The 19,231-nt window shown below is 39.7% G+C and overlaps 1 long non-coding RNA gene across 1 annotated transcript in view; it reads left to right on the top strand.

Annotated features, from left to right (window-relative positions):
* LINC01499 (long intergenic non-protein coding RNA 1499) overlaps window positions 1–19,231 on the top strand; it is a 121,875-nt gene that overhangs the window by 6,457 nt on the left and 96,187 nt on the right. The window contains exon 2 of the long non-coding RNA NR_120584.1: window positions 13,648–13,752. This is a non-coding gene — a long non-coding RNA (long intergenic non-protein coding RNA 1499). The remainder of the gene's footprint in view (window positions 1–13,647; window positions 13,753–19,231) is intronic.

The raw sequence follows: 19,231 nt of genomic DNA on the forward strand, positions 1-19,231 counted from the left end.
TGGTAATTGCCACCTCTAGGGAGCTGGCCTAAAGAAGTTGTTCATTTCCTCCTCTGTTAATACTCTATTTACATCCTTATACAATGCTTAATGTAAAAGAGATTTCACTCTTCTGGTTGATAGTGATAACTATTGTTGCCCCTCTAAAGTAGAATCTACAATTTTTTTTAGTATATTTGTGAAACACTTTGATATACATTATCACCTTTCCACCTCATCACATCAGTTGAGAAAAAGAATGCTTGACTGGAAGAAGTAATTAGCACAAGGCTAATCAAAGTGGCAGATCAAGAATTGAAACACAAGAGTGTGTGGCCCTATAGTTCCAGTCATTTTCATTACTGCACCTCTTTCTAAACCTGCCACAGTGCAGAGCATGTGGCAGTGATGCAGTAGTGTCTCTAGACACACAGAGTAAAAGAGGAATTCAGAGATAGGGCATTTCTTGAATAGATGAGTAAAGGTAGGAGAGAGAAGTCCCTGGAGATTACTGTATATAACTTTTTCATAAAGTTATCTAAGTACAGGGACCATGATATGGTTTGGTTCCATGTCCCCATGCAAATCTCATCTTGAATGGCACTCCCATAATTCCCATATGTTGTGGGAAGGACCCTGTGGGAGATAATTGAATGATGGGGCCGGTATCCCTCATCCCATTCTCATGGTAATGAATAAGTCTCATGAGATCTGATGGTTTTATTTTTTTTAATTTTATTTATTTGTTTATTTATTATACTTTAAGTTCTAGGGTACATGTGCACAACGTGCAGGTTTGATACATAGCTATACATATGCCATGTTGGTTTGCTGCACCCATCAATTCATCATTTACATTAGGTATTTCTCCTGATGCTATCCCTCTCCCAGCCCCCCACTCCCTGACAGACCTCGGTGTGTGATGTTCCCTGCCCGGTGTCCAAATGTTCTCATTGTTCAGCTCCCACCTATGAGTGAGAACATGCAGGGTTTGGTTTTCTGTCTTTATGATTGTTTGCTAAGAATGATGGTTTCCAGCTTCATCCATGTCCCTGCGAAGGACATGAACTCATCCTTTTTTATGGCTGCATAGTATTCCGTGGTGTATATGTGCCACATTTTCTTAATCCAGTCTATCATTGATGGACATTTGGGTTGGGTCCAAGTCTTTGCTATTGTGAATAGTGCCGCAATAAACATACATGAGCATGTGTCTTTAAAGTAGCATGATTTATAATCCTTTGGGTATATACCCAGTAATGGGATGGCTGGGTCAAATGGTATTTCTAGTTCTAGATCCTTGAAAAATCACCACACTGTCTCTACAATGGTTGAACTAATTTACACTCCCACTAACAGTGTAAAAGTGTTCCTATTTCTCCACATGTTCTTTAGCATCTGTTGTTTCCTGACTTTTTAATGATCACCATTCTAACTGGCATGAGATGGTATCTCATTGTGGTTTTGATTTGCCTCTGATGACCAGTGATGATGAGCATTTTTTCATGTGTCTCTTGGCTGTATAAATGTCTTCTTTTGAGAAGTGTCTGTTCATATCCTTTGCCCACTTTTTGATGGGGTGTTTGATTTCTTCTTGTAAATTTGAGTTCTTTGTAGATTCTGGATATTAGCCCTTTGTCAGATGGGTAGGTTGCAAAAATTTTCTCCCATTCTGTAGGTTGCCTGTTAACTCTGATGGTAGTTTCTTTTGCTGTGCAGAAGCTCTTTAGTTTAATTAGATCCCATTTGTCTATTTTGGCTTTTGTTGCCATTGCTTTTGGTGTTTTAGTCATGAAGTCCTTGCCCATGACTATATCATGAATGGTATTGCTTAGGTTTTCTTCTAGGGTTTTTATGGTTTTAGATCTAACATTTAAGTCTTTAATCCATCTTGAATTAATTTTTGTATAAGATGTAAGGAAGGGATCCAGTTTCAGCTTTCTACATATGGCTAGCCAGTTTTCCCAGCACCATTTATTAAATAGGGAATCCTTTACCCATTTCTTGTTTTTGACAGGTTTGTCAAAGATCAGATGGTTGTAGATGTGTGGTGTTATTTCTGAGGCCTGTGTTCTGTTCCATTGGTATATCTATATCTATATCTATATCTCTATATCTATATATAGCTATATAGATATATAGATATAGATATCTGTTTTGGTACCAGTACCCTGCTGTTTTGGGTACCATAGCCTTGTAGTATAGTTTGAAGTCTGGTAGCATGCTGCCTCCAGCTTTGTTCTTTTTGCTTAGGATTGTCTTGGCAATGTGAGTTCTTTTTTGGTTCCATATGAACTTTAAACTAGTTTTTTTTCCAATTCTGTGAAGAAAGTCATTTGTATCTTGATAGGGATGGCATTGAATCTATAAATTACCTTGTGCATTATGGCCATTTTCACCATATTGACTCTTCCTATCCATGAGCATGGAATGTTCTCACATTTGTTTGTGTCCTCATTTAATTCATTGAGCAGCAGTTTGTAGTTCTTGAAGAGGTCCTTCACATCCATTGTAAGTTGGATTCCTAGGTATTTTATTCACTTTGTAGCAATCGTGAATGGGAGGTCACTTATGATTTGGCTCTCTGTATGTCTGTTATTGATGTATAGAAATGCTTGTGATTTTTGCACATTGATTTTGTATCCTGAGACTTTGCTGAAGTTGCTTATCAGCTTAAGGAGATTTTGGGCCGAGACGATGGGGTTTTTTAAATATACAGTCATGTCATCTGCAAACAGGAACAATTTGATCTCCTCTTTTCCTAACTGAATACCCTTTATTTCTTTCTCTTGCCTGATTGCCCTGGCCAGAACTTCCAACACTATGTTGAATAGGAGTCACAGTGAGAGAGGGCATCCTTGTCGTGTGCCAGTTTTCAAAGGAAATGCTTCCAGTTTTTGCCCATTCAGTATGATATTGGCTGTGGGTTTGTCAAAAATAGCTCTTATTATTTTGAGATACGTTTCATGAATACCTGGTTTATTGAGAGTTTTTAGTGTGAAGGGATGTTAAATTTTGTCGAAGGCCTTTTCTGCATCTATTGAGATAATCAAGTGGTTTTTGTCATTGGTTCTGTTTATGTGATGGATTACATTTATTGATTTGCATATGTTGAACCAGCCTTGCATCCTAGGGATGAAGCCGACCTGATCTTGGTGGATAAGCTTTTTGATGTGCTGCTGGATACAGTTTTCCAGTATTTTATTGAGGATTTTCACATCCATGTTCATCAGGAATATTGGTTTAAAATTCTCTTTTTTTGTTGTGTCTCTGCCAGGCTTTGGTATCAGGATAATCCTGGCCTCATAAAATGAGTTACGGAGGATTCCTTCTTTTTCTATTGGTTACAATAGTTTCAGAAGGAATGGTACCAGTTCCTCTTTGTACCTGTGGTAGAATTTGGCTGCGAATCATCTGGTCCTGGTCTTTTTTTGGTTGGTAGATTATTACTTATTGCCTCAATTTCAGAGCCTGTTATTGTTCTATTCAGAGATTCAACTTCTTCCTGGTTTAGTCTTGGGAGGGTGTATGTGTCTAGTAATTTATCCATTTCTTCTAGATTTTCTAGTTTATTTGTATAGAGGTGTTTATAGCATTCTCTGATGGTAGTTCGTATTTCTGTGGGATCAGTGGCGATATCCCCTTTATCATTTTTTATTGTGTCTATTTGATTCTTCTCTCTTTTCTTCTTTATTTGTCTTGCTAGAAGTCTATCAATTTTGTTGATCATCTCAAAAAACAAGCTCCTGGATTCATTAATTTTTTGAAGGGTTTTTTGTGTCTCTAACTCCTTCAGTTCTGCTCTGATCTTTGTTATTTCTTACTTTCTGCTAGCTTTTGAATGTATTTGCTCTTGCTTCATCTAGTTCTTTTAATTGTGATGTTAAGGTGTCAATTTTAGATCTTTCCTGCTTTCTCTTGTGGGCATTTAGTACTATAAATTTCCCTCTACACACTGCTTTAAATGTGTCCCAGAGATTCTGGTACATCATGTCTTTGTTCTCATTGCTTTCAAAGAACATCTTTATTTCTGCCTTCATTTCGTTATTTACCCAGTAGTCATTCAGGAGCAGGTTGTTTAGTTTCCATGTTGTTGTGTGGTTTTGAGTGAGTTTCTTAATCCTGAGTTCTAATTTGATTGTACTGTGGTCTGAGAGACAGTTTATTGTGATTTCTGTTGTTTTACATTTGCTGAGGAGTGCTTTACTTCTAATTATGTGGTCAATTTTAGAATAAGTGTGATGTGGTGCTGAGAAGAATGTATATTCTATTGATTTGGGGTGGAGAGTTCTGTAGATGTCTATTAGGTCTGCTTGGTGCAGAGCTGAGTTCAAGTCCTGGATATCCTTGTTAACCTTCTGTCTCATTGATCTGTCTAATGTTGACAGTGGGGTGTTAAGTCTCCCATTATTACTGTGTGGGAGTCTAAGTCACTTTGTAGGTCTCTGAGGACTTGCTTTATCAATCTGGGTGCTCCTGTTTTGGGTGCATATATATTTAGGATAGTTAGCTCTTCTTGTTGAATTGATCCCTTTACCATTATGTAATGACCTTCTTTGTCTCTTTTGATCTTTGTTGGTTTAAAGTCTGTTTTATCAGAGACTAGGATTGCAACCCCTGCTTTTTTTTTTTTTTCCATTTGCTTGGTAGATCTTCCTCCATCCCTTTATTTTGAGCCTATGTTTGTCTCTGCACATGAGATGGGTCTCCTGTATACAGCACACTGATGGATCTTGACTCCTTATCCAATTTGCTAGTCTACATCTTTTAATTGGGGTCATTTAGCCCATTGACATTTAAGTTTAATACTGTTATGTGTGAATTTGATCCTGTCATTATGATGTTAGCTGGTTATTTTGCCCGTTAATTAATGCAGTTTCTTCATAAGATCAATGGTCTTTACAATTTGGCATGTTTTTGCAGTGGCTGGTACCAGTTGTTTCTTTCCATGTTTAGTGCTTCCTTCAGGAGCTCTTGTAAGGCAGGCCTGGTGGTGACAAAGTCTCTCGGCATTTGCTTGTCTGTAAAGAATTTTCTTTCTCCTTCACTTATGAAGCTTAGTTTGGCTGGATGTGAAATTCTGGGTTGAAAATTATTTTTTTAAGAATGGTGAATATTGGCCCCTACTGTCTTCTGGCCTGTAGAGTTTCTGTGGAGAGATCCACTGTTAGTCTGATGGGCTTCCCCTTGTGGGTAACCCGACCTTTCTCTCTGGCTGCTCTTAATATTTTTTCCTTCATTTCAACCTTGTTGAAGCTGATAATTATGTGTCTTGAAGTTGCTCTTCTCAAGGAGTATCTTTGTGGTGTTCTTTGTATTTCCTAATTTGAGTGTTGGCCTACCTTGCTAGGTTGGGGAAGTTCTCCTGGATAATATCCTGAAGTGTGTTTTCCAACTTTGTTCCATTCTCCCAATCACTTTCAGGTACACCTATCAAACATAGATTTGGTCTTTTCACATAGTCCCATATTTCTTGGAGGCTTTGTTTGTTTCTTTTTACTCTTTTTTCTCTAACCTTGTCTTCTCACTTTATTTCATTAATTTGATCTTCAATCACTGCTACCCTTTCTTATACTTGATCAAATCAGCTATTGAAGCTTGTGCATGTATCATGTACTTCCCATGCCATGGTTTTCACATCCATCAGGTCATTTAAGGTCTTCTCTACACTGTTTATTCTAGTTAGCCATTTGTCTAACCTTTTTCAAAGTTTTTAGCTTCCTTTTGATGGCTTAAAACATGCTCCTTTAGCTCGGAAAAGTCTGTTATTACCTACCTTCTGAAGCCTACTTCCGTCAACTCATCAAAGTCATTCTCCATCCAGCTTTGTTCCATTGTGGGCAAGGGGCTGCAATCCTTTGGAGGAGAAGAGAGCTCTGGTGTTTAGAATTTTCAGCTTTTCTGCTCTGGTTTCTCCCCATCTCTGTGGTTTTATCTACCTTTGGTCTTTGATGTTGGTGACCTACAGATGGAGTTTTGTTGTAGATGTCCTTTTTGTTGAGGTCCACTGCAGACCCTGTTTTCCTGGGTATCACCAGTGGAGGCTGCAGAACAACAAATATTGCTGCGTGATCCTTCTGTGTCCAGAATTGGTGGGTTCTTGGTCTCACTGACTTCAAGAATGAAGCCGCGGACTCTCGCGGTGAGTGTTACAGTTCTTAAAGGTGGCATGTCCAGAGTTTGTTCCTTCTGATGTTTGGATGTGTTTGGAGTTTCTTCTTTATGGTGGGTTTGTGGTCTTGCTGGCTCAGGAGTGAAGCTGCAAACCTTTGCGGTGAGTGTTATAGCTCTTAAGGTGTTGCGTCTGGGGTCATTCATTCCTCCCAGTGGGTTTGTGGTCTCGCTGGCTTCAGGAGTGAAGCTGCAAACCTTCGCAGTCACTGTTACAGCTCATAAAGGCAGTGTGGACCCAAAGAGTGAGCAGTAGTAAGATTTATTGCAAAGAGCGAAAGAACAAAGCTTCCACAGTGTGGAAGGGGACCTGAGCAAGTTGCCACTGCTGGCTCAGGCAGCCTGCTTTTATTCTCTTATCTGTCCCCACCCACATCCTGCTGATTGGTCCATTTTACAGAGAGCCGATTGGTCTGTTTTACAGAGAGCTGATTGGTCCATTTTGACAGGGCGCTGATTGGTGCATTTACAATCCTGAGCTAGACACAAAAGTTCTCCATGTCCCCACTAGATTAGCTAGATACAGAGTGTCAATTGGTGTATTTACAAACCCTGAGCTAGACACAGAATGCTGATCGGTGCATTTACAAACCTTAAGCTAGATACAGAGTGCTGATTGGTGCATTCACAGTCCCTTAACTAGACATAAAGATTCTCCAAGTCCCCACCAGATTAGCTAGATACAGAGTGCTGATTGGTGCATCCACAAACCCTGAGCTAGACACAGGGTGCTGATTAGTGTGTTCACAAACCTTGAGCTAGACACAGAGTGCTGATTGGTGCACACACAATCCCTTAGCTAGGCACAAAGGTTCTCCATGTCCCCACTAGACTCAGGAGCCCAGCTGGACTCACCCATTGGATCTTGCACCAGGGCTGCAGGTGGAGCTGCCTGCCAGTCCCGCGCAGTGTGCCCACATTCCTCAGCCCTTGGGCGGTCGATGGGACTGGGTGCCATGGAGCAGAGGATGGTGCTCATTGGGGAGGCTCAGGCTGCACAGGAGCCCATAGCTTTGGGGATGGGGAGACTCAGGCATGGGGAGCTGCAGGTCCCGAGCCCTGCCCCACAGGGAGGCAGCTAAGGCCCAGCGAGAAATCAAGTGCAGTGCCCTGCTGGGGGACCTGGCGCACCCTCTGCAGCTGCTGGCCTGGGTGCTAAGCCCCTCACTGCCTGGGGCCAGCAGGGCCAGCTGGCCACTCCAAGTGTGGGGCCCGCCAAGCCCACACCCACCCGGAACTCTAGCTGGCCAGCAAGTGCAGTACACAGCCCTGGTTCCCACCCATGCCTCTCCCTCCACACCTCCCTGCAAGCCGAGGGAGCTGGCTCTGACCTTGGCCAGCCCAGAGAAGGGCTCCCACAGTGCAGCAGCAGGCTGAAGGGCTCCTCAAGCACGGCCAGAGTGGACACTGAGGCCGAGGAGGCACCGAGAGTGAGCGAGGGCTGCAAGGGCTGCCAGCACACTGTCACCTCTCACTTCCTCCAGAAGCTTTGTCCCTAAGGGGCACCCACCTATATGAAGTGTCTGTTGGCCACTACTGGGAGGTACCTCCCAGTTAGGCTACATGGGGGTCAGGGACCCACTTGAGGAGGCAGTCTGTCTGTTCTCAGAGCTCAAACGCCATGCTGGGAGAATCACTGCTCTCTCTAGAGCTGTCAGACAGGGCCGTTTAAGTCTGCAGAAGTTTTCTGCTGCCTTTTGTTCAGCTATGCCCTGCCCACAGAGGTGGAGTCTATCGAGGCAGTAAGCCTTGCTAAGCTGCAGTGGGCTCTGCCAGTTTGAGCTTCGTGGCAGCTTTATTTATGTACTCGAGCCTCAGCAATGGTGGGCACCCCTCCCCAAGCTGGGCTGCCACCTCACAGTTCCATCTCAGACTGCTGCGCTAGCAGTGAGCAAGGCTCCATGGGCATGGGACCTGCCAAGCCAGGCACAGGAGAGAATCTCCTTGTCTGCCAGTTCCTAAGACCTTGGGAAAAGCACAGTATTTGAGTGGAAGTGTCCCGCTTTTCCAGGTACGGCCTGTCATGGCTTCCCTTGGCTAAGAAAGAAAAATCCCCCGACCCCTTGCACTTCCTGGGTTAGGCAATGCCCTGCCATGCTTCTGCTCACCCTCCGTGGGCTGTACCCACTGCCCAACCAGTCCCAGTGAGATGAACCACATACCTCAGTTGGAAATGCAGAAATCACCTGTCTTCTGCGACGATCACACTGGGAGCTGCAGACCAGAGCTGTTCCTGTTTGGCCATCTTGGAACATACCTCCTGATGGTTTTATTAAGGGGGTTTCCACTTTCACTGCTGCTTCATTCCCTCTTGCTGCTGCCATGTAAGAAGATCCTTTCTCTTCCACCATGATTGTGAGGCCTCCCTAGCCACACGAAACTGTAAGTCCATTAAATCTATTTTTTTTCCCAGTTTTGGGTATGTCTATCAGCAGCATAAAAATGGACTAAAAAAGGCCATCTTTAAAAACATTAGTAATACTCTGAGATTAATATAGTGTGCACAACACAATGTGCATGATTTTTGCTGTAGAGTTTCATTCTGTTTTTGCTCGTGTTGCTTTTCATTACTTTTTTTACATAATTTTTTATATTATTTTCAAATGACTTCTAATAATTGTACATATATATGGAATAGAGTGATATTTCTATACATGTGTACACTAATGATCAAATTAGGGTAATTAGCATATCTATCATTTAAATATTTATCACTTCTTTGTGTTGTGAACACTCAAAATCCTCTTTTAACTTTTTGCAAATATACACTAGGCCGGCTGCGGTGGCTCACACCTGTAATCCCAGCACTTTGGGAGGCCGAGGTGGGTAGATCACGAGGTCAGGAGTTCGAGACCAGCCTGGCCAACATGGAGAAACCCCATCACTACTAAAAATACAAAAATTAGCTGGGCATGATGATGAGCACCTGTAATCCCAGCTACTTGGAAGGTTGAGGCAGGAGAACCACTTGAAACCGGAAGGTGGAGGTTGCAGTGAGCTGAGATTTTGCCACCACACTCCAGCCTGGGCAACAAGAGTGAAACTGTCTCAAAAAAAGAAAATATACACTAAATTATTATTGAATATAATCATCGTACAGCACTACAAGACACTAAGATTTATTCCTCCCACTGAGCTGTAACTTTGTATCTATTAAAAAGCATCTTTCTATGTTTTTTTCCCCCTGAATTTACCAGCCTCGAATAACCACAATTCTTCATTCTACTTCTGTAAGTTCACCTTTTTTTTTTTCTCAGCTCCCACATAGGAGTGAGAACATGTGGTATTTATCTTACTGAGCCAGATGTACTTCACTTAACATAATGTCCTCCAGGCTCATTATGTTGCTGTAAATGACAGAATTTCATTGTTTTTTTTTTTAAATGGCTGAATACTATTCCATTGTGCATATTGTGAACCCTGAAAATCTGAGTCAGGTCTCGGTTAATTTAGAAAGTATTTTGCCAAGATTGAGGACCTGCACCTGTGACACAGCCTCAGGAGGTCCTGATGACATGTGCCCAATGTGGTAGGGGCACAGCTTGGTTTTAAACATTTTAGGAAGACATAAGACATCAATCAATATGTGTAAGATGTACATTGGTTCAGTTGGAAAGGTGAGACAACTCAAGATGAAGGCGGGATGCCTCTAAGTTGGAAGGGGCTTTCCAGGTCATAGGGAGACATACGGTTTCATTCTTTTGAGTTTCTGATTAGCCTCTCCAAATGAGGCAATCAGATATGCATTTATCTCAGTAAGGAGAAGGGTAACTTTGAACAGGAGACATGTTTGCCTTAAGCAATTCCCAGCTTGACTACTCTCTTTAGCTTAGTGATTTCGGGGCCCCAAGATTTATTTTCCTTTCATGATACATACCACATTTTCTTCGTCTGTTCATCTGTTGATTAATATTTAGGTTGATTCTTAATCTTGGCTATTGTGTATAGTGCTGTGATAAACGTGGCGGTGCAGGTATCCCTTTAATATAGTGATTTCCTTTCTTTGAATGAATACCCAGTGGCAGGATCGCTGGATACTATGGTAGTTTTATTTTTAGTGTTCTGTGAGACCTCCACACTGTTTTCCAAAGTAGCTGCACTAATTTACATTCCCAACTACAGTGTATAAAAGTTTCCTTTCCTTCACATCCTCACCAGTGCTTGCTTTTTTTTTTTTTTTGTATTTTTGATGACAGCCCTTCTAACTGGAGTAAGATGACATGTCACTATGGTTTTGATTTGCATTTTTCTGATGATTACAGATGTTGAACATTTTTTGATAGACATATTGGCCATTTATGTCTCCCTTTGAGAAATCCTATGTCCATTTTCAGTCAAATTATTTGTTTTTTTGCTGATGAGTTATTTGAGTTCCTCATATATTCTGGATATTAGTCACTTATTGGATAAATAGTATGCAAATATTTTCTCCCATTTTACAGGTTGTTTCTCCACTTTGTTGGTTGTTTCTTTTGCTGTGCAGAAGCTTTTTCATTTACTATTAATCCCACTTGTCTATTTTTGTTTTTGTTGTCTAAGCTTTTGAAGTCTTACCTATAAAATTTTTCCTAGACCAATGTCCTGAAGTGTTTCGCCTATGTTTTATTCTAGTAGTTTTATAGTTTGGGGTCTCACATTTAAGTCATTAATCCCCTTTGATTTGATTTTTTCTAAATGGCAAATGATAGGGGTCTAGCTGTATTTTTGTGCATATGAATATCCAGTTTTCAGAGCACCATTTATTGAAGATGGTGTCCTTTCTTTAATATATGCTCTTTTGCTGAAAACCAGTTGGCTATAAATATGTAGATTTATTTCTGGATATTCTGTTCTGTTCCATTTATCTATGTGTCTGTGTTTATAGCAATGCCATGCTGTTTTTTGTCTACAGTTTTGTAGAATATTTTGAAGTCAGGCAATGTGAAGCATCCGATAAGGAGATCTATATGCATAGAATCTGGAATCTGAGACCTAACTTGGCTTCTTGGATCTGCCACTTCTCTGATTTCTCAAGAACTTGAAGCTTCAAGTGTCTCCTGTAAAACCCATATTTTGTGTTCACGTGGTTAGTACTTATCATAACAGGTACCAATTCTATGGTGCCTCATGCTCTCTGAATTTCAAGTATTTCATTACTAATTCCCTTTTTAACTGCAAAACACAAGGAAGACTAACTTGCATTCCAGACAGTATGGGGTGGCTAATTTCTTTCTGATTTTGACCCTAAGTTCTATCAACACCAAAGCATCGTAGGTGCCTTAGAAAGAAGGAAGAAAGATCTTGAGGAATTCACTTTTCCCTACATTGTCTGAATAAGAGTCAAACCGCAAGATTGTCAGTATTCATTGCTTTTTGCATAAGACTGAGAAGTTGCCCTCATGTTTATTTGATTTTAACTTCCAAAGCTAAGTGGTGCTTCTGTAAGGATATAAGAATGGGGTCATGGAGAATTCCAGGATAAAGCAAACTCTACTAAAGAATGGTTGGGTTTTATGCATTTCAAGGGCCTTAATTTTGCTAGACTGAATATCATTTTCAAGTCTTTTACTTCAAAGACTGTGAGGCCCTTCTATTAGTTGAAATTCTGGAAAATTACTTCATGAAAATTTAGAGTACTTTGATAAGCTGATATAGCCTGTTTCCTAGAATCTCACAAAAGTCAAGACCTCAGTTATGCATTTATTTCCTTTATTCTGGTTCTTAAACTCAAGCTACTCATTGCCTAAGGTCAATGGAAAAGTTAGTAAATATAGGAAAAGGACAATAATAGAGATGAATACATCTTGATATGACAAGAAGAATTAACAAAGCTCATGTTTTGATGATTTCAAGCTACTGACTTGGAGTTCAGCCTGTTTTTGCTATAATCTAGTTCAGGGAACAGTGATCTATCATTTCACATTCTTTTTAAACTAGGAAACTTCACACTTTACAGTAGAGAGTGAGTGGGACCTTGAAGGGTGAGTATTATGTCTATTTGTTAGTAAGAAATGAGGGAGTTTTCTAGTCAAAAGAAACAGCTTAGGGGTATAAAAATATACATGATGAACCATCACCAAATAATTGGGAATAGGGCCACTAGCATCAAATGATATAAAATGCACACAGCTATATTCATAACTCAACTCACAAATGATTTGCCTTAGTTATAATGTGTGTCATATCTAAACCTAAAACATAATAAAATACACGGTACACTTACTTAACCTTTCATTAGTGCACTTGTATTTTTTTTTACCTAGTCTATTGATCAAAAAATTTGACATATCTGTGGTGTTATGGTTGGGTGATTAATTATGACCCTGAGGAACTGACAGTCTAATAATCACACTTGTGCTGTGCCATTTGCAGCATGAGTGCTGCAGAATCCTAGGTAGGAAAGTAGTGACATACCAAGGGCTATTATGTGCAATAACGAAAGGCAGTAGGGTCGTAGGCCAGCCTTATCTGCATTACTTTGGATCTTGTTAGATTTCAAATTCTTGGATCTGACTCAAGACCTACTAAATCAGAAACTCTAGAAGTGGGACCCAGCAGTCTGTTTTAACAAGTTCTCCACATAATTTCAATATATGTTTATGTTTGAAAAATTTTATTCTGGTGATAGGGAATACAGACTTCCTCAATTCAGATAATAGCTATGCTATTAACACCTGAGTGACATTAGGCATCTATATAATGATATAATCTATATAACGAGGATAACATTAATATCTGCCTTAGAGGCTTATTATGGGAATCAAGTGAATCAGCATTTCCTGGTCCCTACTAAGTATCATATTAACACTAGTTCTTGCCTCTAGGGGAAGAAATGGCATGATCCTTTAGTTCTGCCACGGCCTCTCTTTTAGATATCTTGAAAGTCTTGCTTTTGTACTGTTTGGCTATTTTCAGTTATACAATGAAAACAACAAATTGTCACCACTTTCCTTTAACATTTGAAATAGATTCTCCAATAAGGAGTTGCTTTTTCTGTCCTTAATTGAAAGAAAAATATCCCTTACTTTCTGATACTGAAAAATATACTCATTAAATCTGATCTACTCTTACCACAAGCCTCAAGACGCATCTTTCCAGAGTGAATTACAAGAGCCACAGGCAGCAACTATTGCTTTCCAAGCAGCTCAATAATCCATCATTCCACCTTTCCTTATTCCACTGCAACTCACCTGGATGCACAGAAATTTCCTCCCAAATTTATTGAAACATTAAAAATTCAGGCTCCAAGCTAAAATCCTTGTCTTCATTTTGTTTAATATTTTGAAGAGTCTAACTCTTTGGTATTGATTATCTGAGCAGGCAATCAAAATGCTTAATCAATAACAGTCACTCATGTGTGACCTGTAGTTCTTCCAGAGCACTAGGTAGTTAAACCCTTTTGACCTTCTCTTTTAATTAATTCTAACCTTTATTAAGAAGAACCTTTCTAGCCTGCAAGCTGCAAAATTGCAACTTTCAAGAAGGAAGTTTACCCTCTTTTTGTCTTCCTGAAATCAGAGTGAAGCCAAAGGCACAGGAAGCACAGCTGGAATGGGGACATAGGAACGCGGGGGCTCCCATGAGTTGACCGGACAACTGAGAGATGGCAACCTAGACCTGGGGGTAAGTCACTGTCTAATGTGCTCTACCTCTGCTACTTGGCTCAGGGCAGATTACAGGAATGACTAGTTGGTATTGCTTCTGACTTCATTGCTTTTACCCAGAAGCAAATGTCACTGAAACAGGAAAAAATAATTTGGGTTCCCATAAGGAGCACCTGTAATTCTACATAGTGTGCACAATTAGAAGTCAAGAAAACTTACTGCCAATAATGAGAATGTATAATTTTTGCCAAGTTGCTTCTTCCACATGAACCTCAGTTTCTTCATCACTCCAATGAAAGGCTCTTTTAGGACAGTCTCTTGGGCCCTCCTTTATTTCTGATTTTCTGTAGTTACTTCATCTCTGGGAATCAATTCTCTCACAGCAGAAGTAAATAACAGGGCAAGGTTTGCATAGATCTGGGTACTCTGGAAAAATGCCAATTTCATTCCCTTATGAATTTTTTCTCAGCACATTACAGATGTTGCACACAGATGACCATATTGACTGCTCTAGTCAATAAAGATATATTCAGGTTTAAAGGGCTGAAAATTCATCATTACCTATGTTAAATTATTTCATTTGGAGTATTTTCATATAAGTTAGAAGATCAAAATAAAAAATAGCATGGAAGGCATAGCATGTAACTCTATGTACCACCTAAAATAGATAATAGTATTTTGTGAAATTTGCTTTGTCTATTTTTTAAGCAAAAAAGCGTATACATTACAAATGAAGTTGAATTTACTTTCCAGTTCCATCTCAGCAAACTGCATCCCCATCCCCAAGCAACTATGTTCATAAATTCAATGTGTGTTATTCTAGCCCATTTAAAAATATTTTAGATACATGAATATAGCAATGGGTTGATTGAAAGATGAATAGATTGATGAATGCATAAAGATTCCTGATAGGTAAATAAATAGACAAATCCATTTATATAGATTTGTATATAGTATTATCTTTAAATTTACATATATATGATAGGTAAATAGACAAACCTATTTATGTAGATTTGTGTCTAGTATTATCTTTAAATTCACATATACATTATATTATGTCTCATTCTTTAAATTACCTATTTTTCTCAACATTTATGTTTTTGAGTCCACCTATGACTCAAAAGAAGTCTAGTTCATTCCTTTTAATTGATATGAAGTATTGAATTATACAAATATATCACATTTTATTTTTCCATTCTCCCAGTACTTAGCCACTTGGCCATTTTTAGTATATCACTATTAACACAAAGCTGCCCCAAATATCCTGAGACAGAAATATTGTATGTGTTAGAAAATTTCTACACTATGTAATCAAGTACAATTGCCATTCATAGAGTTTACAAATTACCAGTTTAATTAAGTTTTGTGATTATGTGGGAGGCTTAGGCAGGAGAATAGCTTGAACCCAAGAAGAGGTTGCAGTGAGCTGAGATGCCAATCCAGCCTGGGCGAAAGACCGAGACTCTATCTCAAAACAAAAATGAAAACAAAAAATACATTCTACTGTCAACTTTTGTTTTTGCTTAGCTAATGGATATAAAATAATGGGTCATTTTGTATATTTCATTTATGTTTGTCTTATGTTTATAATTCCTAGACTAGTGAAGTTGAACAATTTTTCATATGTTTAATGAATGCTATATTTTGAGTGTGTCTGTGTTAGTTTGTTCTCACATTGCTATAAATAAATACCTGAGACTGGGTAATTTATAAATAAAAGAGATTTAATTGGCTCATAGTTCTGCAGTCTATACAAGAAGCATGATGCTGGCATCCACTTGGCTTCTGGGGAGGCCTCAGGAAACTTACAGTCATGATGGAGGATGAAAGGGCAGCAGGCACATCACACGGCCAGAGCAGGAGCAAGAGAGAGAAAGGTAGGGGTTGCTACACATTTTTAAATGAGCAGGTCTCACAATAACACATTATCATTAGGAGAGTACCAAGAGGGATGCTGCTAAACCATTCATGAGAAATCTGCCCCCAGAATCCAATCATTTCTCACCAGGCCCCACTTCCAACACTGGGGATTACATTTCAATATGAGATTTGGGTGGAGACACACATTCAAACTATATCAGTGCCCCTGAAATTTCATGTTAAAATTTAATCCCCAGTTCAATAGTATTAAGAATTTGGTACTCTAGGAGGTGATTAGATCATGAGAGCTTCCACCTTCATAAATAGATCAGTGCTCCTTCTAATAGGGTTCCAGGGAACTAGCTTGCCCTTTTTTGCCCCTCCATCCCTCTCACCATGTGTGGAAACTGCAAGAAGTTTTCCTCACCAGACACCAATTCTTCTGGTGCTGTGATATTGGCCTTCCAAGACTCCAGGAATTTGAGAAAATTAATTTCTGTTCTTTATACATTACCCAGCCTCAGGTATTTTGTTGTAGCAGTACAATCAAACTAAAATAACATTTCAGCATTCTTCTCTATGAATAGTCTTTTCATAACCCTTGCATTTTTTATTCAAGTGATTTTATTTAATAATTATATATATATATGACTATTTACTTGTTACGAGGTATTCATATTCAAAAAGTTAATCCCTGTTAAATTATTTTAGAAAGAGCTACTGTTTTGTTCTCTATTAGTCCATTTTCACATTGCTATAAACTACCTGAGACTGGGTAATTTATGAAAAAAACAGGGTTTGATGACTCACAGTTCTGCAGGCTTAAAAGGAAGCCTCAGGAAACTTACAATCATGACAGAAGGTGAAGGGGAAGCAAGAATCTTCTCATGATGGCAGGAGAGAGAGAGAGTGAAGGGAAAGGTACCACACACTTTTAACACTTTTAAATAACCAGATCTCATGAGAACTCTATAACAAGACAGGACTAGGGGGATGGTGCTAAACCATTAGAAACAAACTCCATGATCTGCTTACCTCCCACCAGGCTCCACCTCCAACACTAGGTATTACAACTCAACATGAAACTTGGGTGAGGACAGAGACCCAAACTATATTATTCCACCCCTGACCCCTCCCAAGTCTCATGTCCTTCTCACATTTCAAAATCAATCATGCCTTCCCAACAGTCTCCTAAAGTCTTAACTCATTCCAGCATTAACATAAAAGTCCAAGTCCAAAGTCTCATCTGAGACAAGATAAATCCCTTCTGCCTATGAGCCTGTAAAATAAAAAATAAGTTAGTTGGTTCCAAGATATCATGAGGGTACAGGCATTGGGTAAATGCTCCAATTCCAAATGGGAGAAATTGGCCAAAACAAAGGGGATAGAGGCCCCACAGAAATCCAAAATCCAGCAGGGAAGTTATTATATTTTAAAGCTGCAAAATACTCTCCTTTGACTCCATCTCTCAAATCCAGGATGTACTGATGCAAAAGATGGGCTTCCAAGCATTGAGGAGCTCCACTCCTTTGGCTCTGCAGGTTACAGCCCCCATAGCTGCTTTCACTGGCTAGCATTGAGTACTTGCAGATTTTCAAGGTGCATGATGCAAGCTGTCAGTGGACCTACCATTCTGTGGTCTGGAGGATGTTGGCCCTCTTCTCACAGCTTCACTAGGCAGTGCCCCAAGAGGGACTCTGTGTGGGAGCTCCAACTCCACATTTTCCCTCTATGCTGTCCTAGTAGGGATTCTCCATGAGAGCTCTGCCTCTGCAGCAGACTTCTCCGGGATCATCCAGGCATTTCCATACATCTTCTGAAATCTTGGTGGAGGCTCCCAAGCCTCAACTTTTGCCCTCTGTGCACCTGCAGGCTTAACAACATGTGGAAGCCATCAAGGCTTCTTATGGCTTGCACCCTCTGGAGCAGAAGCCTGAGACATTTCTGGGGCCCTTTTAGCCACAGCTGAAGCTGGAATAGCTGGGATGCAGGGCATCATGTCCCCAGGCTGCACATAGCAGCGGGGCCCTGGACCTGGTCCACGAAATCATTTTTCCCTCCTATGCCTCCAGGCCTGTGATTGGAGAGGCTGTCATGCAGGTCTCTGAAATGTTCCGGAGGTATTTTTTTCCATTGTCTTGGCTATTAACATTTGACTGCTTTTTACTTTTGCAAATTTCTGCAGTCAGCTTGAATTCTCTAAAAGAAAATGGGTTTCTCTTTCCTCCCACATGGCCAGGCTGCAAATTTTCTAAACTCTTATCCTCTGTGTCACTTTTAAATATAACTTCTAGTTTCTGATTATCTTTTTACTTATAAATATGAGCATTCACTCTTAGAAGCAGTCAGGCCACATCTTTAACACTTTGCTCCTTATACATTTCTTCTGCCAGATACCCTAAATTATCTCTCTCAAGTTCAAAGTTTCACAGATTTCTAGAGCAGGAGCACAATGCTGCCAGTCTCTTTGCTAAAGCATAGAAAGAATGACCTTTACTCTAGTTCCCAATAAGTTTCTCATCTCTATTTGAGACCTCCTCAACCTGGACATTACTGTTCATATCACTATTAGCATTTTGGTCACAACCATTCAACAAGTTTCCAGGAAGTTCCAAACTTTCCCTCATTTTCCTGTCTTCTTCTGATTCCTCCAAACTGTTCCAACCTCTGCTCATTACCCAGTTCCAAAGTTGCTTCCACATTTTCAGGTATCTTTGTAGCAATGCCCCACTTCTCTAGTACAAATTTTTTGTACTAGAGAAGTTACATTCTCACAATGTTATAAATACATACCTGAGACTGGGTAATTTATAGAGGACAGGGGATTAATTGACTCACAGTTTTGAGGGCTGTACAAGCATCTACTTTTGAGGAGGTCTCAGGAAACTTACAATGATGGTGGAAGGGGAAGGAGAAGCAGCCATGCTTTCTACATGGCTGACAAGAGAGAGGGAAGGGGAATGTGCCACACACTTTACAGCAATCAGATCTTGTCAGAAATCTATCACAAGACAGCACTAGAGGGATCATGCTAAACTATTAGAAACTGACCACATGATCCAATCACCTCCCACCAGGCCCCTCCTCCAACACTGGGATTACAATTCAACATGAGATTTGAGTGGGGACACAGAGCCAAACCATATCAAATATAAAGGGTTTGGTACTATCTGTGCACAGTTTCAGACATCCACTGGAGGTCTTGGGAAGTATTTTCTCACAAAGGAGTAGGCTTTTGTACATATTTTTCTCAAACGCATTTGGGAAATTTCCCAGGATAGACCATATGTTAATCCAAAAGTCAAATCACAATAGATTAAATAAGACAGAAATTATATAAAATATTGTTTTCAACCATAGCAGGATGAAGTTAAAAAATCAATAACAAAAGTAAAGTGGAAAATGTACAAATTTACAGAGATTAAACAACACACTCTTAGACATCCAATGGATCAATAAGAAATCAAAAGAGAAAGTGGAATATACTTGAGATGAAAGAAAATGAAAACATAACGTACAAAAGCATATCACACATAAAAAAGCAGTGCTAGTGGGGAATTTTTAGCTATAAATGCTTATATTATGAAAAAGAAAGACCTTGATTTTACTTAACCTAATTTTTACAACTTAAGAAACTA

This window comes from Homo sapiens, chromosome 11, assembly GCF_000001405.40.
Source record: "Homo sapiens chromosome 11, GRCh38.p14 Primary Assembly".
Classification (NCBI taxonomy): domain Eukaryota; kingdom Metazoa; phylum Chordata; class Mammalia; order Primates; family Hominidae; genus Homo; species Homo sapiens.